This window comes from Homo sapiens, chromosome 12 (assembly GCF_000001405.40).
Source record: "Homo sapiens chromosome 12, GRCh38.p14 Primary Assembly".
Lineage (NCBI taxonomy): Eukaryota > Metazoa > Chordata > Mammalia > Primates > Hominidae > Homo > Homo sapiens.
The window spans coordinates 122,328,925-122,355,710 of record NC_000012.12 but is presented as its reverse complement, the minus strand read 5'-3'; the positions used below and the strand labels follow the sequence as shown (position 1 = coordinate 122,355,710).

At 43.3% G+C, this 26,786-nt stretch overlaps 1 protein-coding gene across 24 annotated transcripts in view, besides 1 other annotated feature; it reads left to right on the top strand.

Moving 5' to 3' along the window:
* CLIP1 (CAP-Gly domain containing linker protein 1) overlaps positions 1–26,786 on the top strand; it is a 151,488-nt gene that overhangs the window by 67,246 nt on the left and 57,456 nt on the right. For 8 of the 24 annotated variants that reach the window (XM_047429314.1, NM_198240.3, XM_017019788.3 and 5 more), the window contains exons 6-13: positions 399–596; positions 1,155–1,258; positions 2,925–2,985; positions 14,014–14,958; positions 18,963–19,079; positions 21,006–21,063; positions 21,601–21,684; positions 22,568–22,724. In XM_047429314.1, coding sequence (XP_047285270.1) covers positions 399–596; positions 1,155–1,258; positions 2,925–2,985; positions 14,014–14,958; positions 18,963–19,079; positions 21,006–21,063; positions 21,601–21,684; positions 22,568–22,724 — 1,724 coding nt within the window. Of the gene's footprint in view, positions 1–398; positions 597–1,154; positions 1,259–2,924; positions 2,986–4,567; positions 4,601–8,231; positions 8,337–14,013; positions 14,959–18,962; positions 19,080–21,005; positions 21,064–21,600; positions 21,685–22,567; positions 22,725–26,786 lie in introns of all 24 variants that reach the window. The other 16 variants (NM_002956.3, XM_006719552.5, XM_047429310.1 and 13 more) reach the window with 8 other exon arrangements.
* Positions 6,255–6,549: a silencer, noted in NCBI's record as "tiled region #10749; HepG2 Repressive DNase matched - State 7:EnhWF". NCBI's record gives its function as "represses a minimal TATA promoter and a strong SV40 promoter by Sharpr-MPRA in HepG2 cells {active_cell/tissue: HepG2}" and the evidence as "EXISTENCE:reporter gene assay evidence [ECO:0000049][PMID:27701403]".

The window sequence follows — 26,786 nt, the reverse complement described above, 5'->3', positions numbered from 1 at the left end:
ATCCAGGAGGTGGAGGTTGCAGTCAGCTGAGATCGCACCACTGCACTCCAGCTAATTTTTGTATTTTTAGTAGAGATGGGGTCTCATCATCTTGGCCAGGTCTCAAACTCCTGGCCTCAAGTGATCCACCCGCCTTGGCCTCCTGAAGTGCTAGGATTACAGGCATGAGCCACCGCACCTGGCTGATCTCTTTACGTTGATGTATTCTTTGTGAGATTTATAGACAGAAGGCACACACTGTCTTGTGTTTTTGAGGAAGCCTTTCCTAATCCTGGCCAGCCTGCCAGCTGGAGCAGCGCCCTTGCTTTGCCGAGCAGATGCCCGCCATGCATGCATCGCGCCTCCCTCGCTTTTCTGACAGCATCATCGCCCTTCATTTCTCTAACTTTCCTTTACAGTTGACTGAAACCTCCTCCCGTTACGCCAGGAAGATCTCCGGTACCACTGCCCTCCAGGAGGCCCTGAAGGAGAAGCAGCAGCACATTGAGCAGCTGCTGGCGGAACGGGATCTGGAGAGGGCGGAGGTGGCCAAGGCCACGAGCCACGTGGGGGAGATAGAGCAGGAGCTAGCTCTGGCCCGGGACGGACATGACCAGGTGAAGTCTGGACCTTGTTGCGGAGATGGTGATGGTTTCTAAAGCCACTGAGGAGCCGAGAAGCATGCCCGGTGCTTGGCACCGAGGAGCTAGACTTGAGAGCACAAGAAATGGGTGTACATTTCTTTGCTGTGCTTGTTTGAAAGCTACAGTCTGGGGTGCCAGTTTCCATGATCACAGAGATGAAGTTTTGTTCTTGATTCGACCTTAGTGTTTGGTCTTTGTGTCCGGGTCTTTTGGCCTGTCTGTGTTAGGCCAGCTTGGTTACTAGGGCCTTACCAATGATTGATTATAGCTGCTGTTTGTGGATTACTCTTAATATGTGTTTCAGCTTCAAAAAAGATGAGAGGTGTTTTAACATTGTTCTTTATCACTTTCATCATCTATCTTCCAGGAAAGCTGTTGAGAATAACCTATTAAAATAGAGAAAGCTTTTTAACATAAGGTTTTAGAGTAACGCCCACCCACCATGGTGACCCACAGCTCTTTGGAGAAGTATCACTGGGTCTGTATCTGGGTCAGAAATAGTCCATTTACCGACATTCTTGCCTTCCCCAGCATGTCCTGGAATTGGAAGCCAAAATGGACCAGCTGCGAACAATGGTGGAAGCTGCTGACAGGGAGAAGGTGGAGCTTCTCAACCAGCTTGAAGAGGAGAAAAGGTGACCCCAGACTGTTTCCTGGTGCAAGTGTGGCCTTTCCCCCTTTTTTTTTGTTTTTGAGACAGAGTCTAGCTCTGTTGCCCAGGCTGCAGTGCAGTGGTGCAATCTCAGCTCACTACAACCTCTGCCTCCCAGGTTCAAGCAATTCTCCTGCCTCAGCCTCCCAAGTAGCTGGGACCACAGGAATGTGCCACCACGCCTGGCTAATTTTTTGTATTTTAGTAGAGATGGAGTTTCACCATGTTGCCTAGGCTGGTCTCGAACTCCTGAGCTCAGGAGATCCATCTGCCTCAGCCTCCCAAAGTGCTGGGATTACAGGTGTGAGCCACCGCGCCCAGCAGCCTTTTCATTTTCAATGACCTCAGAAGAAAATTTCCTATTAATAATCATGTTGGTATCAACCCTTAGAACCAAAGGAATGACTATGTGTCCAGCAGAAGGTGAACTCTGCCATACTGTGTGAAGAGCGTCTGCTTTGATTTGACTTTTTTCAATAAGTTTGGAATCATTTAGACATGGCCTGATTGGGCGCAGTGACTCACGCCTGTAATCCCAGCACTTTGGGAGGCTGAGGCGGGTGGATCACTTGAGGTCAGAAGTTCGAGACCAACGTGACCAACATGGTGAAACCCCGTCTCTACTAAAAATACAAAAATTAGCCAGGCCTGTTGGCGGGCGCCTGTAATCCCAGCTACTTGGGAGGCTGAGGCAGGAGAATTGCTTGAACCCGGGTGGCAGAGGTGGCAGTGAGCCGAGATCGCGCCACTGCACTCCAGTCTGGGTGACAGAGCAAGACTCCGTCTCAAAAAAAAAAAAGAAAACATTATTTATTATCTTTTGAGACAGGGTCTCACTCTGTCACTCAGGCTGGAGTGCACTGGTGTGATCATGGCTCACTGCAGCTGTGACATCCCTGGCTCAAGTGATCCTCCTACCCCAGCTTCCCAAGTAGCTAGGACACAGGCACATGCCAACATGCCTGGCTAATTTTTGTAGAGATGGGGTTTTGCCATATTGACCAGGCTGGTCTCAAACTGAACTCAAGCAGTCTGTCCACCTTAGCTTCACAAAATGCTAGGATTACAGGTGGCTTATTTTATTTTTTCTTTTTGAGACAAGGTCTCACTCAGTTGTGCAGCCTGGAGTGCAGTCATACGATCATAACTCACTGCAGCCTTGACTACCTGGGCTCAAGCAATCCTCCCACCTCAGCTGCCCAAGTAGTTGACACGGGTGCACGCTGCCACACCTGGCTAATTTCTTAATTTTTTGGTGGAGATGAGGTCTCGTCATGTTGCTCAGGCCGCTCTTAAACTCCTGGCTTTAAGCCATTCTCCCACCTTGCCCTCCCAAAGTGCAAAGATGCATTTTTAAACTTGCTATGTCTCTAAGGCATTTCTGGTGGCTGTCTGCTTGAATTCACCAGGGTAGTGATGATAGATTTTTTTTTTTTTTTTTAAATATAAGGACTGGGTCTCACTATGTTGCCCCAGCTGGTCTCAAACTCCTGGCCTCAAGCGATCCTCCTGCCTCCACCTCCCAAATTGCTGGGATTATAGGAGTGGCCTACCATGCCCAACGTGTTTTTTTGTTTGTTTGTTTTGTTTTTTTAAAGGCTGTGTGTTACTTAGTTTCTTAAGTGTTTTGTTTGGGTTTTATTCCACAGGAAGGTTGAGGACCTTCAGTTCCGGGTTGAAGAAGAATCAATTACCAAAGGTGATCTTGAGGTAAAACCCCTCCAGCTCTCTTACAGCTTTTATGGGTATCAGTATTCAGAACACGGGCGAAATAATGCACCAATTGAAATGAGCGGCCAGAACAGCCAGCTGAGGAAGTGGCGGGGGAAGGTTCTGGGGGTGGCTTTGTGGTGACGGTGCCGGTACTTGAGCCTGTGAGTGTGTGGCCCACTTCCTAGCAGAGTGGAACTTGCACTACTTCTTTCTCATGCTTCAAAATGCAAAACCATGAATTGGATCTCATCAAGTCATAAATCTGGCAGTGTGTCCTCAATTTAAAGCAGTCCTAAGTGAGACTTAATGGTGTTCGTCTGATGATTAGAAAAGGCATTTTAAATTTTGTCATAGTAGTCCATAACAGGCCGGGTGCGGTGGTTCACGCCTGTAATCCCAGCACTTTGGGAGGCCGAGGTAGGTGGATCACCCGAGGTCAGGAGTTCGAAACCAGCCTGGCTAACGTGGTGAGACCCCGTCTCTACTAAAAATACAAAATTAGCCGGGCGTGGTGGCGGGTGCCTGTAATCCCAGCTACTTGGGAGGCTGAGGCAGGAGAATCGCTTGAACCCAGGAGGTGGAGGTTGCAGTGAGCCGAGATCGTGCCACTGCACTCCAGCTTGGGGGATGGGTCGAGACTTTGTCTCCAAAAAAAAAAAAAAAAGTCCACAACAAAGTTTTTTGCTTTATCTCAGCTTTGCTTTCCAGTTGAGCAGGATAAATCCTTTTATAACCCTATAAAAGGAATATGTTGTAATTGTTAATTTTTTTAAAAAAGTAATTAGCAGAGCAAAAACTAAGAACACTTTATATTTCAACTTCTTTTACTTTCATGGCATTTGTAGAATTCATGGATTTTCCTTTAGTGTCAGGTTTCTCATCCCTTTTTAACAATTTATTCATATTAGTTTTTAAATTAGACACCAGAATTAAATGGTTTTGATGGTTTCAAGCCATTGCTAGATATATGACAAATGTAAATCATTCAGTTTTTCAAATTTTCCAGATTTGTAGTTCTTTAATCTACAATATTTTAGTAAAAATTGCACTTAACTGTGCGTTTCCCAAATATGCAGTTTTGCTACAATTTTAGAGTCTGCTGGCTGCCCACACCATGCTTAAATTTGAGGGGCCCTTCCAAACAGCAACTCTGATTTCTTTGAAAATAAATGTATCTTTACAGTTAACAAAGAGCAAGGGGGGCATTTTCTGGGTTCTAGTTTTATGGGGCCCAGAATTTAATGGTTCATTAACAATTTAATAGATATCTTCTTCACTCATTTCATATACAGCCACATTCCTTTAGTCAATTTTTGTGTTGTTCTCATCCATTTAAAAACACCCCAAAGTCTCATTAGAAGTTTCATGTCATCATCTAATTCATGTGAAATATAGCCCATGGTGTCTTCAGGAGGGTCCAGTTAAAATAATTTACATCAGCACTGGGTTGTATAGTCTGTCTGATAAACTTACTTGAAATTAATCAAATAAAGTTATCTTGAAACCCTAACACATATTGAAGCTTTATTGGAATCTCTTTTTTGTTGTTGTTTAATTTTTTTTATTTTTTTACTGATAGCAAAAGAGCCAGATTTCTGAAGATCCTGAGAATGTAAGAGGGCACTTAACTGTGTGGATATTTCCCTTGTTAACAAAGATTGATCACAGATTAAAATGCTTATTGATATACTCAAACACTAACTGCATAATCTGACCTTGGGACATTGACCTTAATGTTTCTGTGCATGTGGCTTTCAAAGCAATTACATTTATATCCTGAAGAAATTGTATGTAATGACTAAGCTCCACACATTCATGTGTTTAATGAATAGGCCAACGTTTGCTTTATAAAGAATTTTGCCAGAAAGGGGGGAAAAATGTTTTTTGTCTGGAGACCTGGCCTTCTTCACCTAATTCATAATGTCTTCTAATTTTAGTGGAATTATTCCAAAAGAGATGATATCTGGCTGGAGCATAAGGCATTCTAGATGTGGAGTTGTGGGAATTCTGGGGAAGTTTCCAAGTTGTCTAATTTTGCTTCCCATGAGAGGAAAGGGGATTGTGAGGCTGGCTGCTGTCCCGGAGCTGACTGGCTGCCTTTTCAGTGTGCCCCCGCCACTGGCCAGTGCCTGCCAGTGCAGCTGATGAGACATTTAAACTTCTGTTTGTTTCTACAATATTTTCCTTAGTTGCAAAACTAGAGGCAAGCGTTTGTCAATGAAGACAATAGCATGTTTTAAATTGTTATTACCGAAGTGAGAGTTTTCTAGCTGTAGCATTACTAGGTATGCAGGTGTTTTATTTTTCTTCCTCCAAGTTCAAACACCCAGTACAAGTCCTTGCTATGTGGTCTCCAGAGCCCTGCTTCCTGGTGTACCCTGCCAGCTGTGCTGCTGGTTGTAAAGAACCTGAAAACGTTTTGCCTTGATTTACTGCCACATAAGACGGAAATTAAAGAATGACATTACTTCCTACCACCTCCTGGCAGCTGAAATAGACAACTCAAGACTAAACTTTTGGCCAGGCACTGTGGCTCACACCTGTAATCCCAGCACTTTGGGAGGTTGAGGCGGGCAGAACACCTAAGGTTAGGAGTTTGAGACCAGCCTGGCCAACATGGTGAAACCCTGTCTCTACTAAAAATACAAAAATTAGCCGAATATGGTGGCACGCACCTGTAATCCCAGCTACTAGGGAGGCTGAGGCAGGAGAATCGCTTGAACCCAGGAGGCAGAGGTTGCAGTGACAGGAGATCATGCCACTGCACTCCAGCCTGGACAACAAGAACAAAACTCCATCTCAAAAAAAAACAAAAAAAACAAAAAAAACAAAAAAACACAAGACTGAATTTTTTAAAAGGTCTTCGTTCTGAAGGGTTCCTTTTTGTGAAGCTACTTCAGTGATCTGGGTCTCTTCTCTCCTTCCGAAACAGGCTCCCGCTGCCCCCGGTGTCAGTCTGCATGGGATTTCCCCCCTGCCTTTCCTGTGCGCTTCTCGCAAAGCCTTTGCTTTCCTTCTCAATCCCCTGTCCCAGGACTTTCCTCTTGGGATACTCTGTGTTCTTATTCTAAGAAAGGAATGATTTTACAAGAAGGGTTGTCCTGTTCAGTGTCACATTTTTACTGTGTGCTGTGGCATGGAAGTGGATCACTAGTTCCCTTGCTGCTGATTGATCACTCAAGGTCAGGAGTTTGAGACCAGCCAGTTCGAGACCAGCCTGGCCAACATGGTGAAACCCAGTCTCTACTGAAATACAAAAATTAGCCAGGTGTGGTGGCGCATGCCTGTAATCCCAGCTACTACGGAGGCTGAGGCACTGTAGAGTCCCAGATAATGTGTATATAGACCCATCAGTAAGGAGGCGTTGGCTACGCTTATCTGAAAGATCTCTGAATGGGGAGGAGATCACATTAAATGTGTATTTGCTTTTTATCTGGAAATAGTGACCTTTTACCCAGAGGACACTTAACTGTGTCAAGAGAAGAAAGGTTCTATTGCCTTTTCTTTTTCCTACTACTGTAGTTTTGGATTTCAGCTCCTGAGGCTGTGACCCCAATTATGTAGATAAGGATTAGATTCTTTTCTTATAAAAGCAGGGAAATTGAACAGTGTCCATCCAAGGCACATACAGACCAAGGGGATTATCCAGACAGTTAGGGCTTGAATTGTATTTCATTATTTTTGTGGAGTATACAGAGCTGAAGCAGGTGATGAATTAAAAAAAATTTTTTTGTTCACCTTTTAAATATCTCATCATGGTTTGTCGATACCTGGTTTACAAGCAAAGTGACCTCTTGAATGTATTGAGGTCCCCGAGTCCCACTGGAATGAGTGAAGACGTTTGCAATCTTCACTTTTACATTCCCCCCTCTACTGAAGCTCTGCACTTTGTGTCACTTTGTTTAGAGTCTGTTGTCATTTTTTCATTGCCCATAATTGTCCAGACTGATAGGTCAATTAGTACCACAAAGTATTTAAATTACTGCACGTAACTGACAGTTGCTGAGAGCAGCCCTGCGGGTGTGGGCCTTGTCAGTCACTGATTCTGATAACTGATAACCTCTTGTGTAAGAGAGGTGGGGGTGGGAAGAGGTACATTTGGACCTAGATTATTTCAAATTAAGATTCTGCTGCACTTAAACCTGTTAGAGATTATCCTCTGGGTTCCCTATCAGGCTACATCCAAGTGCGTAATGGTGGGGAGAGCAGAGTATCTGAGATCACAGGTTTTGAATCACCTTAGGAACCCACCAGCTCTTTTTGAGAGAGCTCAAACTCATGCCTTTGTGTTGAGTTGCGTTTTTATGTCTGAGCTAATAAAAACAACTTCATCTTAAGGTAAAAATAATAAACCCCTTACCAGTTTGAGGTAAACTTTCCTCCTCTCTTGAGCCTCTCAATTGGACTCCTTCAGAGATGGAGACTATAGAGGATAATTATTACTAAATTTTCTCTTTGTAATTCTGAGTCCTTTTTTCCCTCCCTGGAGCCCAATAGCCTTTGGGACATCCACTGCTGGAAGGAAACTAGAGCTTCCATGGCCTCTTCCCCATCACATGTAGGAATGTTGCTAAGACTCTTAACTCAGACCCTTCTCACCCATTTCTGCAGAGGCTGCTAGCATGATTTCTTAGCTCTAGTTGGAGCTAGAGAAGGAATAGATTCCTTCTACTGAGGTTTTTATTTGACCCTTATTTACGTCAAGTTATATGCTAAGGTGCAAGAATCTGCTCTAAGGACTTATTGAACAGTTTAAGATTTATAATACCTTTGCCATATTTAGGTGATAGTGACCATCATTCTGAGGGTCAATATACCTTGTGAAGTTATCGAGTCAGTTACATACACATTAATGTCAAGTAGCCTTTGTGGGGCGGAGGGATAATGATAGTTTAGAGGGAGGGATATTAACTATTCTAATTGGTGCTGATAAACTTCACTTATCAATATTACTTATATTTGGCTGCATGCCTCTGACACTTCATCTGGCCTCATGTGTTTTCCATTTTTTCTTTCTGAACAGACTAGCCCATGCCCCCTGCCCACCACCATCCTTTGTCCCTGGTATTCATCCTCACTGCCCACCTCATCTCACCTCCACCTCTTCCCTTCTCCATTCCCCTTTGGTTCACCCTTTGGCAGAAGGTACTGGTGGCTCAGCCTGCATGCCGCTGTCTCTCCTCTCGTGCTGGCATGTCATGGTGGCACTGTTGTGTTCTCTTCCTCTTCCTTTTTACTAACAGACGCAGACCAAACTGGAGCATGCCCGCATTAAGGAGCTTGAACAGAGCCTGCTCTTTGAAAAGACCAAAGCTGACAAACTCCAGAGGGAGTTAGAAGACACTAGGGTAATGGTTTTCACTATTTAATGAAGCAGACCCATGCATGTGAAGGGTGGACACCTCAGGTGACATGCTTTATAGTTGGCCTGAGCCTTGACCCAGTGGTTCAACCTGAGTTTGGTCTTGGTACCATTCAGGTGTTTGTGAGCTGAGACTGATGAGTAGGAACAGGTGTTTTATATCTCGTCTTTTGTCAAAAGTAAAGACTCATTCCTTTGGTAACCCAACCAAATCAGGATCAGAAACTTTACAACTGAATAAATGAATGGATATAACTGTATTTGAAGTTATTTATATTAATACCATGAAATATATTTCTCCAGTTGGCCACAAGCAGTCAATTGTCCTCTTGTTCTCAAATATCTAGTTACTAGGCTTTCTAAATAATTTTTTGTTATTGTTGTTTTACTTTAGCTCTCTTCCTGCCTTCTTCCCTGGCCTCTTGGAGAAGGAAATGGAAACATGGGCTGTGTTTCATGAGAGTTAAAAACTTTCACCCCAGTTACCTTTTTATCTTGGAAGGCTGATCTCTGCATCTCCCTCCTTCCTGTCGCTCGGGGGATTGAAACCTCAGTGGACACTGGGCGCAGTGGCTCTTGCTTCTTATCCCAGCACTTTGGGAGGCTGAGGCAGGCAGATTACTTGAGGTCAGGAGTTTGAGACCAGCCTGGCCAACATGGTGAAACCCTGTCTTTACTGAAAATACAAAAATTGGCTGGGCCTGGTGGCGCATGCCTGTAATCTCAGGTACATGGGAGGCTGAGGCAGGAGGATTGCTTGAATCCAGGAAATGGAGTTTGCAATGAGCTGAGATCGTGCCACTGCACCCCAGCCTGGGTGACAGAGTGAGACTCTGTCTGGAAAAAACAAAACAAAACAAAAAAACCCTCAGTGGTGAGGAGGGAAATGCATGTTGGGAACAGAATGGCTTCTTCCTGCCCTGAGCTCATTGTGCTTAGCCCTTGGAGCCAGGACATTACTCAGGTTTTAGTTTATTTATATATTAAAGCACCTATATAGTGCATACTTCATGCCAGACACTATTCTAAGTGCTTTGCAGGTATTCAGTCTCAACACAACCCTAGGAGGTAGGGAATATTAGTGTCCCCATTTTACAGACAAGAACACTGAGGCGCAGAGAAGTTAAATAACTTGCCTAAGATAAAACAGCAAATAGTAATAATGGAGGCAGGATTTGCATCTAGGACATTTGGCCCCAGAGTCTGTGCTCTTAAGCACCACAGGATGGAGTCCGTCTATTATGGAAGTTGTTTTGTGCGTAAAGATTAAGAAATGGCCAGGCGCGGTGGCTCATGCCTGTAATCCCAGCACTTTGGGAGGCTGAGGTGGGTGGATCACCTGAGGTTGGGAGTTTGAGACCAGCCTGGCCAACATGGAGAAACCCCATCTCTACTAAAAATACTAAAATTATCCGGGCGTGGTGACACATGCCTGTAATCCCAGCTACTAGGGAGGCTGAGGCAGGAGAATCACTTGAACCTGGGAGGCAGAGGTTGCGGTGAGCCGAGATCACGCCATTGCACTCCAGCCTGGGCAACAAGAGCGAAACTCTGTCTCAAAAAAAAAAAAAGAAAAAGAAATAGTCACTTACATGTAAGATATGTAGTCACATACCCTTTTAAATCATGAATTTGTCTGTCAGTGACTAAATTGCCCAGATTCTTAACTTTAGAATTCCAAAAATTACTCTGTCTCTAATCAAATTTGCTATCCTGATTTTTAAAAAAATTTCTAGTGTTTGTAGAAATTTCTCTTGTTGAGAATTAATTGACTGATCTAAAAATCTAGACAATTTTTCTTTTCTAAATCATGTGTTTTTATTTTTTAAGAAGAAGGAACTATCGGCCTCTGAACTAAAGATTTCTCCTGTGTATTTGGTAAGAAAACAAAAAAAGAGTGGGCCAGGCATGGTGTTTCATGCCTGTAATCCCAGCACTTTGGGAGGCCAAGGCAGGAGGATCACCTGAGTCCAAGAATTCAAGACCAGCCTGGGCAAGGTGGTGATACCCTGCTTCTACAAAAAATAAAAAAAAAAATTAGCTGGGTGTGGTGGCTACATGGCAGGCTGAGGTGGAAGGATCTCTTGAGCCCAGGAGGTCGAGGCTTGCAGTGAGCCATGTTCATGTCTCTGCACTCCAGCCTGGGCAATAGAGCAAGACCCTGTTTCAAAAAAAAAAAAAAAAGTGGCAATTTGGTGCTGTTTCCTCATTAACTGAGAGCCAAATAATTGATCCGGGAAATACAATGGACTAATGAGATTGAGTTCCTTTAGTGTGATGGCTTTTGAAGTAATATATTTTTTTAAAACATGTAAACTCCTCTCCCGTATCTTAGTTTTGTCAGCAAACAATTTTGATGTTTTTTTTCCTGCTCTAGATAAGGCATTCAGTTACACCATGGTTTATCCAAGTATTTCAGTGTAAAGCTTATATCTTTCCATAACGAAGTATGTCTTCTGTTGATCCTCACTCTTGGGTTCCCAAGTGTTAAGATAACCAGCTACCCATGTAAGTTTCATATCACCTATGTTACTTTTTAGGAAGTGCTTTAGAATACTTTCTAGCCAATAAATCCAGTTTCCAAACAGTGTGCTTGGTGCTGTAGAGATGTTAGGAAGAATAAGAAATAATTTCTGACTTAATTCATGGTCTCAAACTAGTGGGAGAAGCAGACATACCACATAGTTTTGAATTAGGGCAGATTTTGGGAAATGAAAAATAAATTGCTGTACTTTATAGGGAAATGCCACGGAAAGTAAAATCACATTGGTATTTATTATTTTTACTTATTTTTTACTTGGCATTTTTCTCTACTTGACTGTTTTGTTGTAACTAAGAACCATTGCCCTATTGGGTTTAATGTATTTATGCTACAGACCTTGCAGCAATGGGGTTTATTAGTGTTTTGTGTTTTTTTTTCTTTTATTTAGCAAATTCTGCCAGATCCTGATGGGTTTATTAATGTTTTGTATGTTATTTTGACGTAACAAACTCTTGGACTCTTCCTTCCCCAGAAAATCATGTGTAAATGAATTAACATCTTTAACCTGATGAGTCTATAACCACGAAGCACAGCAATTATAGTCAGCTCTGAAATATTTAATTTTATTTACTTTGATTATGCAGTTTTGGAGACTCAGTGCTTTCTTTTCCTCTTCTCTTATGGGCATTTTAATCTTTATTGGTGTCACAGCCTGTAGGGTGGACAGAGGAAATGAAAGAAAACATATCTGTTATTTTCTGTCTCAAAGAAAGGCAGTGTGGGAGAGGAGTCTTAAATTCAGAAGAATATTTAACATTTTTTTGTAGAGATGGAGTTCTCGCTGTGTTGCCCAGGCTGATCTTGAACTCCTGGCCACAAGTGATCCTCTTGCCTTGGCCTCCCAAAGTGCTAGGTATATAGGCATGTACCACCTCACCCAGCCAATCACAGGAGTTTTGATCCTTGAAATATGGGACTCACTGCTGTTTTAAAATTATTTTGTTCCCTTTCATTTCCCAGATTAGTCCAAGAATTTTTGTGATGGAAGCTATTTTCCACACATCCTATGTACTAAATGGACTGCATAGCAGGTAGCAGAGGGAAGTAATTTTCTAGCAATGAAAGGGCACAGGTTAAGAAAGTGTTTTTCTAGCCCTGGGGTATTTATTTAAAGGAAGAAGATTCTTGGGTACTATCCCGGAGCTCAAATAGAATCGAAGTACATGGGAATAGGTAGAAACTTGCAGGTTAGATGTACATTCCAGGTGATTCATGTGCGTACTAATGTCTGAGAACCACTGGGTTAGGGGGTTAGGGGAAGAAGATGTTTACATCAAAATGCTGATAGAATTATCATATCTAAAAAGGGGATTTTGTGTAAGATTCTTGTGTATTATTGCAGGTAAGTAATCATTCTTACTTTGTGTTTTAATAAAATGATCAGTAGGCCAGGCGTGGTGGCTCACGCCTGTAATCCCAGCACTTTGGGAGGCCAAGGTGGGTGGATCACTGGAGGTCAGGAGTTCGAGACCAGCCTGACCAACATAGTGAAACCCCGTCTCTACTAAAAATGCAAAATTAGCCAGGTCTGGTGGCACATGCCTGTAATCCCAGCTACTTGGAAGGCTGAGGCAGGAGAATCGCTTGAACCTGGGAGGTGGAGGTTGCAGTGAGCTGGGATCGCGCCATTGCACTGGGCAACGAAAGCAAAACTCCATCTCAAAAAAAAAAAAAAAAAAAGTTTAGTAAATTAATTCTTCATTCTTCAATTGAGGCTTTCATTCTACAGGTGATGTGTTATTCATTGAAACATTTGATAGGTAATTTTAGACCTTTTATGCAAGTGCTGTCCAATAGAAGTATAATGTAAGCCACACATGTACAATTTATAATTTTCTGGTACCCACATTACTTTTTTGTAAGTCACAAGTTAAATTAGTTTTAATAATATATTTTATGTAACTGATATATTCAAAATATTAATCAAAATAAAATTATTAAGATATTTTAAACATTTTAAAATATAATTTCAGTTTGTTTTTTTTTTTTTTTAGAGACAGAGTCGTGCTCTGTCTCCCAGGCTGGAGTACAATGGCACAATTACTCACTATAGCCTCAACCTCCTAGACTCAAGCAATCCTCCCGTCTTAGCCTCCCAAGTACCTGTTACCACAGGCGACACCACCATGCCTGGCTAATTTTTTATTTTTTGCAAAGACGGGGTCTTGCTGTGTTGCCGAGACTGATCTTGAACTCCTGGCCTCAAGTGATCCTTCTGCCTCGGCCTCCCAAAGTGGTGGGATTACAGGCGTGAGCCACTGCACTTGGCCCACAAGACATTTTGTGATCCTTTTCTTCTAAGTCTTCAAAATCTGATGTGTATTTTGCACTTATACCACACCTCACTTCAGATGAGCCACATCTCAAGTGCTCAATAGCCACGTGTGGCCAACAGCTACTGTTCCGGATGGCACAGTTCTATAAGATCACCTCCATGAAATGGATAAGCATTTATGCAACCTGGATGAAGTGGGGTAGGACAAACTGGCAAAATAAGGAAATGTTTTCTTTCAGGAGGCAGTTATATCTGTGAACTTTGAAAGTTACTGTTTCTGTTAACTTATCAGTTAATGGATATTTATCTGATTTAAGCTTCTTTAGAATTGGAGATACTAAAGTTGGACTTAAGCCATTATCACAGTTAGAAATATATATTAACCTATAAACGTTCATAATAGTTTGCTGCCTGAGATGGGGTAGTTATTAAATATCTTCAGTGTTAAAGAAAATAATCAGGCCAGGTGCAGTGGCTCATGCCTGTAATCCCAGCACTTTGGGAGGCCGGGGCGAGTGGATCACCTGAGGTCAGGAGTTTGAGACCAGCCTAACCAACATGGTGAAACCCCATCTCTACTAAAAATGCAAAAATTAGCTGGGTGTGGTGGCGCATGCCTGTAATCCTAGCTACTCAGGAGGCTGAGGCAGGAGAATCGCCTGAACCCAGGAGGTGGAGGTTGCAGTGAGCTGAGATCGCACCATTGTACTCCAGCCTGGGTAAGAAGAGCGAAACTCCATCTCAAAAAAAAAAAAAAAAAAAAAAAAAAAAAAAAAAAAAAGAAAAGAAAATAGTCAATGACTTGTTATTTAAATGATCTTTTTTTCTTTGGACTGCTGTTAATAGGTGGCTACAGTTTCAGAAAAGTCACGTATAATGGAACTGGAGAAAGACCTAGCATTGAGAGTACAGGAAGTAGCTGAGCTCCGAAGAAGGCTAGAGTCCAATAAGCCTGCTGGGGATGTGGACATGTCACTTTCCCTTTTGCAAGAGATAAGCTCTTTGCAAGAAAAGTTAGAAGTCACCCGTACTGACCACCAGAGAGAAATAACTTCTCTGAAGGAGCATTTTGGAGCCCGGGAAGAAACTCATCAGAAGGAGATAAAGGCTCTGTATACCGCCACGGAAAAGCTTTCCAAAGAGAACGAGTCATTGAAAAGCAAGCTGGAGCATGCCAACAAAGAGAACTCAGATGTGATAGCTCTATGGAAGTCCAAACTGGAGACTGCCATCGCATCCCACCAGCAGGCGATGGAAGAACTGAAGGTATCTTTCAGCAAAGGGCTTGGAACAGAGACGGCAGAATTTGCTGAACTAAAAACACAAATAGAGAAAATGAGACTAGATTACCAACACGAAATAGAAAATTTGCAGAATCAACAAGACTCTGAACGGGCTGCCCATGCTAAAGAGATGGAAGCCTTGAGGGCTAAACTGATGAAAGTTATTAAAGAAAAGGAAAACAGTCTGGAAGCCATCAGGTCGAAACTGGACAAAGCAGAAGACCAGCATCTCGTAGAAATGGAAGACACGTTAAACAAATTACAGGAAGCTGAAATAAAGGTAAAGGAGCTAGAGGTACTGCAAGCCAAATGCAATGAACAAACCAAGGTTATTGATAATTTTACATCACAGCTCAAGGCTACTGAAGAAAAGCTCTTGGATCTTGATGCACTTCGGAAAGCCAGTTCCGAAGGTAAATCGGAAATGAAGAAACTTAGACAGCAGCTTGAGGCAGCTGAGAAACAGATTAAACATTTAGAGATTGAAAAGAATGCTGAAAGTAGCAAGGTTTGTATTGACATCCTCCATTCTTTTCTTTTCCATTTGTTATTCTTGTTTTGCATTATGTTACTTTTGAGTTGAGATCATTCATCTTCCAAATTGCTGATTTAATTAAATTGCTTGATGTCCCCAGTTGAGTATAGTGTAGTATGTTCTGAGTATCTCAAGTATGGTTTCATCTGAGGAGATTAGAGAAAATAATGGCTCAACCATGTGAATTTATTTTGGTTGCCTGTTATCTGGGTACCTGATCTATTTATCTCTGGGCTATGCTGTGACTTCTAATTTAAGCTTAGCTCCAGTCTATAATCTGTTTAAAATAAAGAATGCCCTAACACTATGGTGTTAAGATGAATGAATGAACAGAAACTCAAAAGATCGGCCAGGCGCAGTGGCTCACGCCTGTAATCCCAGCACTTTGGGAGGCTGAGGCAGGTGATCACCTGAGGTCAGGAGTTCGAGATCAGCCTGGCCAACATAGTGAAACCCCATCTCTACTAAAAATACAAAATTAGCCTGGCATGGTGGCGGACACCTGTAATCCCAGCTACCCAGGAGGCTGAGGCAGGAGAATCACTTGAACAACCCGGGAGGCGGAGGTTGCAGTGACCTGAGATTATTCCACTGCACTCCAGCCTGGGAGACAGAGCAAGACTCTGTCTAAAGGAAAAAAAAAAAAAAAGCTTAAAAGATCATCTCCTCCTCTTCTAACCACATATAGTCAGGTGCCACATAATGATGTTTCAATCAACAATGGACCACATAAACAAAGGCGGTTCCATAAGATTGTAATATGGTATCTTTACCTTTTGTATGTTTAAATATGCTTTGATACACAAATACTTAGCATTGTGTTACAGTTGCCTACAACATTCAGTACAGTAACATTTTATACAGGTTTATAGTATAGGAACAATAGGCTGTGCCACGTAGCCCAGGTGTGTAGTAGACTATACCTTCTAGGTGTGTGTAAGTGCACCCTGTGATGTCCCCACAACAATGAAATGCCTAATGATGCATTTCTCATAAGATATCCTGGTTCTTAAGCAATGCATGACTGTAATTGCTTATCTATAGGGTTATGTATAAAAACAGACTGAATTCAGTGCTTCTTGACTATTATAAATTAACATGTTGGCCGGGCAAGGTGGCTCATGCCTGTAATCCCAGTGCTTTGGGAGGCTGAGGCAGGCGGATCAGTTGAGGTCAGGAGTTTGAGTCCAGCCTGGCCCCTGTCTACTAAAAATACAAAAATTAGCCAGGTGTGGTGGTGTGCGTCTGTAGTCCCAGCTACTCAGGAGGCTGAGGCACAAGAATTGCTTGAACCCGGGAGGTGGAGGTGGCAGTGAGCTGAGATCGTGCCACTGTACCCCATCCTGGGCGACAGAGCAAGACTCCATCTCCAAAAAACAAAAAAAAACCCATGCTGTGATAAATAACATTCACAGCAAAATTAAGGGTAAGAGCTTGGAGCCCTTTGCATGGCAGAAATCTCATTGGAGTTTTTTTCTGTGGCATAATGAGAACATGATCTGTCCCCTCCTTTTCTGGGGGAAATACTGAACAAGTGTGCATGTGGTCAAGGCTTAGGAAATTACGTGAAACATTCGCCAGCTGCATTCCTTACTAACTAGCCTTGTTAAATGTCATCTTTATCTTTAAAGGTGGTTCGAGGAATTGTTTCCCAGTCCTGCCACTAGTTGAGGCACTGGTATTGATGCTCAATGTTCTGAACTTTTTTGTGGGAGAAGCTGCTCTATTGGCAAAGAAGGAAGGGTTGTGATGGTTAAATGGGGTGAGGTGAGGACTGACAAACAGCAAAAAATTGCTAACTAACCATAGTCGAAGATGACAAACTGGTTACAGGAAATTTTTCTCAAATCTCCTCATGTGGTTCCGAAATACTAATCAAAACACAAAAATTAATTAGAAGATAATATTTAGCTAATGCTAGTTTACTTTTTAACATCAAGATTTCATGAAAGCCAAGTTCTAATGACTATTGTCCAGTGGATTTTTTTGTTTTGTTTTGTTCTGTTTTTTTGAGACAGTCTCACTCTGTTGCGCAGGCTGGAGTGCAGTGGCACAATCTCGAGTCACTGCAACCTCCACCTCCCAGGTTCAAGCGATTCTCCTGCCTCAGCCTCCCGAGTAGCCAGGATTACAGGCGCCCGCCATCATGCCTGGCTCATTTTTGTATTTTTAATAGAGAGAGGGTTTCACCATGTTGGCCAGGGTGGTCTCGAACTCCTGACCTCAAGTGATCCACTGACCTCGGCCTCCCAAAGTGCTGGGATTATAGGCTTCAGCCACTGCACCTTGCCTGTCCAGTGGATTTTTAAATTTTATTTAAATGTCAAACTACTTTAAGCATATACACAAATAGAGAAAATAATGTAGACCACATATATTCGCATCTTAAGGTTTTTGTTTTTATTTATTTATTTTTTAAGACAGAGTCTCGTTCTGTCACCCTCACTGCAGCCTCCGCCTCCCAGGCTCAAGGGATTCTCCTGCTTCAGCTTCCCCAGTAGCTGGGATCACAGGTGTGTGCCACCACGCCTGGCTAATTTTTGTATTTTTAGTAGAGACAGGATTTCACCACGTTGGCCGGGCTGGTCTTGAACTCCTGACCTCAGCTGAGATCTGCTGACCTCGGCCTCCCAATGTGCTGGGATAACAGGTGTGAGCCACTGTGCCTGGCCTTAAGGTTTTTTGGTTTTGGTTTTGTTTTTTTTTTTTTTGAGACAGAGTCTCGCTCTGTGGCCCAGGCTGGAGTGCAGTGGCATGATCTCGGCTCACTGTAGCCTCCACCTCCCAGGTTCAAGCGATTCTCCTGCCTCAGCCTCCTGAGTAGCTGGGACTACAGGTGCGTGCCACCACGCCTGGCTAATTTTTTATATTTTTAGTAGAGATGGGGTTTCACCATGTTGGCCAGGATGGCCTCGATCTCCTGACTTCGTGATCCGCCCACCTCTGCCTCCCAAAGTGCTGGGATTACAGGCGTGAGCCACCGTGACCAGCCAAGGTTTTTAAAGTCTAGGAAATGAAATTGCTCAAGTAGCTCATTTAGAAAGTAAGCATCCACACCTTCTGCTTTAGATCATGCTGATACTCCAAGTTACAATGAAGTATAGAAAAATAGTCTATTTTGACTATTTAAAAATAGTCTCTGGGCACAGTGGCTCATGCCTCTAATCCCAGCACTTTGAGAGTCCAAAATAAGAGGATTGCTTGGGTCTAGGAGTTTGAGACCAGCCTGGGCAGCATGGTGAGACCCCATCTCTCTTTTCTTTCTTTTTTTTTTTTTTTTGAGGCAGAGTCCCACTGTGTCACCCAGACTGGAGTGCAGTGGTCTGGTCTCGGCTCACCCAACCTCCGCCTCCCAGGCTCAAGCGATTCTTCTGCCTCAGCCTCCCAAGTAGCGGGATTACAGGAGCGTGCCACCATGCCCAGTTAATTTTTGTATTTTTAGTAGAGATAGGGTTTCACCATATTGGCCAGGCTGGTGTTGAACTCCTGACCTCAAATGATCCACTTGCCTCAGCCTCCCAAAGTGTTGGGATTACAGGCATTAGCCACCGAGCCCAGCCAGAGACCCCATCTGTAAAAAAATTTTTTAAACATTAGCTGTAGTGGCACGTGCCTGTAATCTCCGCTGCTTAGGAGGCTGGTGCTGGAAGATCACTTGAACTCAGGAGTTCTAAGGCTGCAGTGAGCCATGATCACACCACTGCACTCTAGCCTGGGTGACAGGGGAGACCCTGTGTCAGAAAGAAAGAGAAAAAAAAAAAAACACAAAAATAGCCATTAGGAAATCATATCATAGAACTGATTGTTTGAAAAGTCATTGACTTCTTAGAATTAAAAACCAACACCAAATTTGTATTCCTTTCAGTTTTGTTTTATGTTTCTCATAAGTTTTTTACATTTGTTTATTTTTTTCTTCTCATTCTCTTTTGTTTTCCTTTTGTTCATTTGCTTCTATACCATGTAACACTGTGTGTTAGGCTAGTAGCATTACCAGAGAGCTCCAGGGGAGAGAGCTAAAGCTTACTAACCTTCAGGAAAATTTGAGTGAAGTCAGTCAAGTGAAAGAGACTTTGGAAAAAGAACTTCAGATTTTGGTAAGTACCTGTTGGGAATCTGAATCTCAGGGTTTCTGGCCATTTCCTGTTTTAAAAAATCCTCCAGTAAGAAATATTGTAGCTGTTTCCTTTCTCTTTCTAAGTGTTGATTCAACTTGAGTGTATTAGTTATTGGCTGATAAATATTGTCCTTTGAGGGGAATCGGATCAAACCCAAACAACAAAGGTAGGTATTACTTTTTTTTTTTTTTTTTTTTAATCTATCCCTTCGCCTTTGGTAACGCACTGCTTTGAAATGTTATTGACTACTTAGTTTTACTAAACACAGAGCCCTTCCAAGTTATACATCGAACACAGTTAGGTTTCATATTGAATGAGGCCCCTTCATATTGAATGAGGCCCCTAAACTGTGATTATCAGGGCAGTAGCTGTACTGGGCCGTAGGCGCCCTCTGTTGGCGAGGCAGGATGCTTGCTGTCTAATTAAATAAATTAAAATAAATCTAACTCAGTTTATTCCATCTCAGAAAATTACCTTCCCTTTTATATGTTTTCTCTTTCCTTAATCTCAAGTTGTATGGCATATGTATATTTTTTACCTTTTCTCAACTCTGTTCCTTCCTACTTGCCTCCTGCACTGAAAACCCGAGTTTAAACAAGGCTGATACTCATGAGTAGTGCCAGTGGTACCCACCCACATGCCATGGAAAGAAAAGCCAGAGGCTTATGGAGAAACTAGACGAGGTATATGTGCCACGCAGGGTCAGCTGTCCCAGGTCCTCCACATCCCTTCCTCTTCGCTGTTCATTACACTTCTGTGCTATTAACAGTGTGAATTAACGTGTGTGATCTTTTTTTTTTTTTTGAGACAGAGTCTTGTTCTGTTGCCCAGGTTGGAGTGCAGTGGCGCGATCTCGGCTCACTGCAGCCTCTGCCTCCCAGGTTCAAGAAATTCTCCTGCCTCAGCCTCTTGAGTAGCTGGGATTACAGGCGCCTGTTACCACGACTGGCTAATTTTTGTATTTTTAGTAGAGATGGGGTTTCTCCATGTTGGCCAGGCTGGTCTTGAACGACTGACCTCAAGTGATCTGCCCTCCTCGGCCTCCCAAAGTGCTGGGATTATAGGCGTGAGCTACTGCGCCCAGCCTGGTGTCCTTTAAGAAAATGTTTTGAGTTCATTGCTTCTCTGCCCTCCTCCCAAGCTTTTAGGATGCCTTGCCTTTTTTTTTTTCCCCCTAAGTTAGAGTATCCTTCCGTATATCTTAGGACAAGACATGCCACCTTGAGTCTGGCTGTGGGATGGCACAGGGGGCAGCCTGTGGGCTTGGATGCACTGTGGCCCCTGCACCATCTTTTCATAATCCTATCTAGTTAGAAATACTCATGTAACAACCTTCTTGATGTAGCTAGCTCGAAGTTCATCTCAGGACAACCAGGAGAGTGATTTTTAGCTTGGCCTATTGTCATGTTTAGAAAAGACCTTGAACTGTAAGTGACTTATGGGCCTTTTCAGTTTCAAAAGTAGCGACACAGACCTAGATTCAAGATATTAGATTACTCTCAGAAATAACAAACTTCAGAGCTTTGTTCACCATTTCACACAGATTTCTGAAGAGAAGGTCTGCTGTTTGAGAGGTGGCAACATGAAGCATGCACGTGCACCCTATGTATACACGCACATGCATGTACTTACCTAAGTACGAACATGCCTACATGGGCATGCTGGTGAACCTGCCTTCCCACATGTCCATACACACACATGCAAACTGCACTCTTTTGTGTGTATACATGCACATGTTTATGACCCACATGTAGTAATTGGTGTCATATGTTTGAGGTGTATTAGTTTTAATAAAACAAGACCAGCAACAAAAAGTAGACAGTATCGTAGTTATAATTGATAGAAACTTCTTGTCTTTACAATTTGAAATCTTTCTGTTCAGAATCTCTCATTCTTTTTCTTTAGAAAGAAAAGTTTGCTGAAGCTTCAGAGGAGGCAGTCTCTGTTCAGAGAAGTATGCAAGGTATGTCTTACCAGAGCGTGTGCAGATTGCTTTAAAAAATATCATTCTTTCATACTGGAGCTGACCTGTGGAGTGCACAGAGTTACACTGCTCGTAGCCTAATTTCACTCTCCTGGAAGTTCCTGCCGTGCTCAGAAAGACTGGCTTCCATTGGTTTCCTGAAGCCTCAAACTCCCAATTTTTTCTTCTTTTAGCTTAAGGCTTGTTCTGTATTAAAATGTAAGTATTCCTGGGAAGAGTGTTATTTATGCTTTCATCATTGATAGCTTTATTGAGTTTTAACTGGAAGGAGGAAAGAGAGATGAGTGGAAAGGGCCTGATGCCTGTCTGAAGTACTGATTCAGGGAGGCCAGAGACAGCGGCAGACCTGCTTCTTTCAGGCTGGACACAGCCATGTGATTTGTAAGGGGACTTTTTAGTATTCCTGTGTTCTCAGATCTCTTGAGCATAATATTTGACTGGGTTGTAAGACAGCCAAGCTCCAGATAGCTTATTAAATATGAAACATATTAAACTTCTAACTTTTATCCTAAATAGAAACTGTAAATAAGTTACACCAAAAGGAGGAACAGTTTAACATGCTGTCTTCTGACTTGGAGAAGCTGAGAGAAAACTTAGCAGGTAAGAAGACATCTCTGGTGACTAAACATTAAATACAGTAGGCTTTCCCGTATTCGAGACAGTTGTAGTATGTTACATAACAAATGTACTATTCAGGCATAGCCTCTTCACTCATCATGGTGATATAACAATGTGATGAAATACTTGTTTGAGATCTGTAACCTCCAGCAAGTCCTCTTTGCTCTGTTTTCACAAGAGCCAGAATCTACCACATCTCACCACTCCCACTGCTATCCTTGCTCCAAGCCAACGGCCATCTTTCATCTGAGCTACCCTGACAGCTGACCCTTGGGGCTCACTGCTGCTGCCTGTGCCGGCTTCGGTCTGTTCTCAACACAGCAGCCACAGCAATCCTTTTAATACGAAGTCAGATCATGTCGCTCCTCTCCTCAAGGTCATCCAGTGACTCCCATCCCACTCAGGGAAAGCCGTGATCCTTACACGATCAGGCCCTATTATCTCTCGGATTTCATCTGGGACCCCCTTCCCCTGTTCATTCCACTCCAACCACTTCAGCCTCCTTGTGGTGCTCAGACGTGGTGGGTGTTCCTTTCTCAGAGCCTGTGCACTTGCTTTTCCCCATTCCCTCACTTCCTTCAGGTTTTCCCTGAAATGTCAGCACCTCAGGGAAGCCCCATCTGAGATTCTAACCTCCTTCCCAGCTCCTTTGCCTGCATTTATTTTCCTTCCTCTTAGCACTTACCGCTATTAATTATATGATTTATTTTCGTTATCTTGCTTATTGTGTGCCTTCTTCACTAGAATGTGATTTTTATGAGGACAAGAATTGCTGTGTGAAAATATTACCAGAGCAAGAATACACTCAGTCAGTTTTTGTTGATATAACACAGCCGTGCTATTCTTTTTTTCTCTATATATTTAGATATGGAGGCAAAATTTAGAGAGAAAGATGAGAGAGAAGAGCAGCTGATAAAGGCAAAGGAAAAACTGGAAAATGACATTGCAGAAATAATGAAGATGTCAGGAGATAACTCTTCTCAGCTGACAAAAATGAACGATGAATTACGTCTGAAAGAAAGGTATATGTGACTGTTGAAAAGAGTGCTGACCTTAGGTTAGGCTCTGCGGCAAGCTCTAGGTGGGAGGGGAGACAAAATGTTTAGGATTGTTACGTTTTAAAGTTTCCCGTCTCTGTTCTTTTCTGTTATTACCTCATTGTGTCCTTGAATCAACTATTTAACCTTCTAAAATGGATTTTACCTATCTTACTTGTCAAGAACAACAGAATTAAGGAATACAATACTATTTATAGACCTTTTGGTGACTTGTAAAGAAAAGATAATAAGGCCGGGTGCGGTGGCTCATGCCTGTAATCCCAGCACTTTGAGAGGCCGAGGTGGGCGGATCACTTGAGGTCAGGAGTTCGAGGCCAACCTGGCCAACATGGCGAAACCTTGTCTCCACTAAAAATACAAAATTAGCCAGGCGTGGTGGTGCAAGCCTGTAATCCCAGCTACTGGGGAGGCTGAGATGAGAGAATCACTTGAAACCCAGGAGGTGGAGGTTGCAGTGAGCTGAGATTGTGCCACTGCACTCTAGCCTGGGCAATAGAGAGACGCTCCATCTAAAAAGAAATAAGAAAAAAGAAAAGGTAGTAGTTTACCAATGACAATAATATATTTTACAGGCAGTTAAAAATATATATAGATGTGTTTATATATAGATGTGTATATAGATGTATATATACATATACGCTTTTTTTTTTTTTTTGAGACGGAGTTTTGCTCTTCTTGCCCAGTCTGGAGTGCAATGGTGCGATCTCAGCTCACCACAACCTCCGCCTCCTGGGTTCAAGCAATTCTCCTGCTTCAGCCTCCCGAGTAGCTGAGATTACAGGCTTGCACCACCATGCCTGGCTAATTTTGTATTTTTAGTAGAGACAGGGTTTCTCCATGTTGGTCAGGCTGGTCTCGAACTCCTGACCTCAGGGCCTTGGCCTCCCAAAGTGCTGGGATTACAGGCATGAGCCACCGTGCCCAACCTTTAAAAATATTTTTAACTATTTTTTTTTGAGATAGAGTCTCATTCTGTGGTCCAGGCTGGAATGCAGTGGCGTGATCTCGGCTCACTGCAGCCTTCACCTCCCAGGTTCAAGCGATTCTCCTGCCTAAGCCTCCCTAGTAGCTGGGACTACAGGCACGTGCCACCACACCCGGCTGATTTTTGTATTTATAGTAAAGATGAGTTTTCACCATGTTGGCCAGGGTGGTCTCAAACTCCTGACCTCAGGCGATCTGGCCGCCTTGGCCGCCCAAAGTGCTGGAATTACAGGCATGAGTCACCGTACCTGGCCTGAACTTATTTTAATAGGAAACACATATTATCTATTACTATGGGCCATGCACTGTGCTAACAGCTTTCTAATTCTTATTATCCTACGAAGTGAGTTTAGCATTATTCCCATTTAAAAGAAAAAGAGGCCAGGCACTTTGGGAGGCTGAGGCGGGCAGATCGCCTGAGGTCAGCAGTTCAAGACCAGCTGGGCCAACATGATGAAACCCTATCGCTACTAAAAATACAAAAATTAGCCAGGCATGGTGGTGTGCACCCGTAATCTCAGCTACTTGGGAGGCTGAGGCAGGAGAATCGCTTGAACCCAGGAGGCGGAGGTTGCAATGAGCCAGGATCATGCTGCCGCACTCCAGCCTTGGTGACAAAGCTAGACTCCGTCTCAAAAAAATGAATAAGGCCAGGCACTGTATGTAGCTCATGTCTGTAATCTCCCTGCACTTTGGGAGGCCGAGGTAGGCGGATCACCTGAGGTTGGGAGTTCAAGAACAGCCTGACCAACATGGAAAACCCCGTCTCTACTAAAGATACAAAATTAGCCGGGTATGGTGGCGCATTCCTGTAATCCCAGCTACTCAGGAGGCTGAGGCAGGAGAATCAGTTGGACCCGGGAGGTGGAGGTTGCGGTGAGCTGAGATAGTGCCATTGCACTCCAGCCTGGGCAACAAGAGTGAAACTCCGTCTCAAAAAAAAAATAAATAAATAATAAAAAGGAAGGGAGGGAGCGAAACTGAGGCTTACTGGGGTGAAGCCTGAGGTTTCAGATCTGGGCAGTCTGGTCCCAGAGCCCCTCCTGCTCTTAATAACTACATTGTAGGCCGGGCGTGGTGGCTCAGGCCTGTCATGCCAGCACTTTGGGAGGCTGAGGCAGGCGGATCACGAGGTCAGGAGTTCAAGAACAGCCTGGCCAACATAGTGAAACCCTGTCTCTACTAAAAAAATACAAAAAATGAGCTGAGCGTGGTGGCAGGTGCCTGGATTCCCAGCTACTCAGGAGGCTGAGGCAGGAGAATCATTTGAACCTGGGAGGCAGAGGGTGCCGTGAGCTCAGATCGCACCATTGCACTCCAGCCCAGGCAACAGTGCGAGACTCCATCTCAAAAAAAAAAAAAAAAAAAACTGCATTATACTTCTTCAGTGCTGAAGTTTCCTCTATCTTAATATCTGTTTTTGTCTTTATTCTGGAATTCTTGTTGCTTTGATCTTTTTCTTTTAATAGCTGTCATATAAAAATCAAAGAATTTATAAGGCAAACATTTATAAATTAAGTCTGTAGGCATTAGACTTCTACTTCTTAAAAGTGTTAATACCTGCAAAGTTCTATTTATTAAGACATCCAGCCTTTCACCCCCACACAATTTCATCGGTGCTGAGTGGTGGTCAGGCCTTGGTTGGGCAACTTTGGTCAAACTTGCCTTGAGGTGCTGCTGCTACACAGGTAGTGGTGGCTCAGTGCCTTCAAGAAGCTCCATTTTTGTAGGTATTTTGTGGCTATAAAATTCAGAAGTGCCCCCCAAGTTTCCCTCTTGCATCTGTGATTCATCTAATAGTCTGTTTTCTTGATCAACATCCCGTGTTTTTTGTTTTTTGTTTTTTTTTGAGACGGAGCTTTGCTCTTGTTGCCCAGGCTGGAGTGCGATGGTGTGATCTTGGGTCACCGCAACCTCCACCTTCTGGGTTCAAGTGATTCTCCTGTCTCAGCCTCCTGAGTAGCTGGGATTACAGGCATGCGCCACCACGCCCAGCTAATTTTGTATTTTTAGTAGAGATGGGGTTTCTCTATGTTGGTCAGGCTGGTCTCGAACTCCTGACCTCAGGTGATCCTCCCACCTCTGCCTCCCAAAGTGCAGGGATTACAGGCGTGAGCCAACGCACCCGGCCCCCCATGTTTTATATACATATTTTTGTTCAACCACATGGTCTCTTTAAAGTAGAACTTCAAGTTATTTATTGTCATTTTTGTATCTGCTGTCCTCCAGAAGCACTAGAGTGAATTTTTAGTAATCTAGTCTGCTAAAATTTTGAAACATTCATTTCCTTTATTTATTTATTTATTTATTTAAGTTAATTAATTAATTTTTTTTTTTGAGACAGAGTCTCGCTCTGTCGCCCAGGCTGGAGTGCAGTGGCGCGATCTCGGCTCACTGCAAGCTCCACCTCCCAGGTTCACGCCATTCTCTTGCCTCAGCCTCCAGAGTAGCTGGGACTACAGGTGCCCACCACCATGCCCGGCTAATTTTTTGTATTTTTATTAGAGAGAGGGTTTCACTGTGTTAGCCAGGATGGTCTTAATCTCCTAACCTCGTGATCCGCCCCCCCATCGGCCTCCCAAAGTGCTGGGATTATAGGTGTGAGCCACCGTGCCTGGCCTCCTTTATTTATTTTTAATTGAGGCAGAGTCTTGCTTTGTTGCCCAGGCTGGACTGCAGTGATGCGATCTTGGCTCACTGCAACCTCTGTCTACCCGACTCAAGCAGTTCTCCTGCCTCAGCCTCCTGAGTAGCTGGGATTGTAGGCATGCGCCACCACACCTGGCTAATTTTTGTATTTTTAGTAGAGACGGGGTTTCGCCATGTTGACCAGGCTGGTCTTGAACTCCTGAACTTAAATGATCTCATCTCAGCCTCCCAGGGTGCTGGGATCATAGGCATAAGCCACCACTGCCTGGTCTCGTTTCCTTTAATAAGTTTATTTTTCACTCATTTTTCCTTATTAATTTATTGACATAAAATAGTAAACCTTCCCAATTACAGTAGTTATTACTCTAAATAATGTATTTGTGACTATCATAA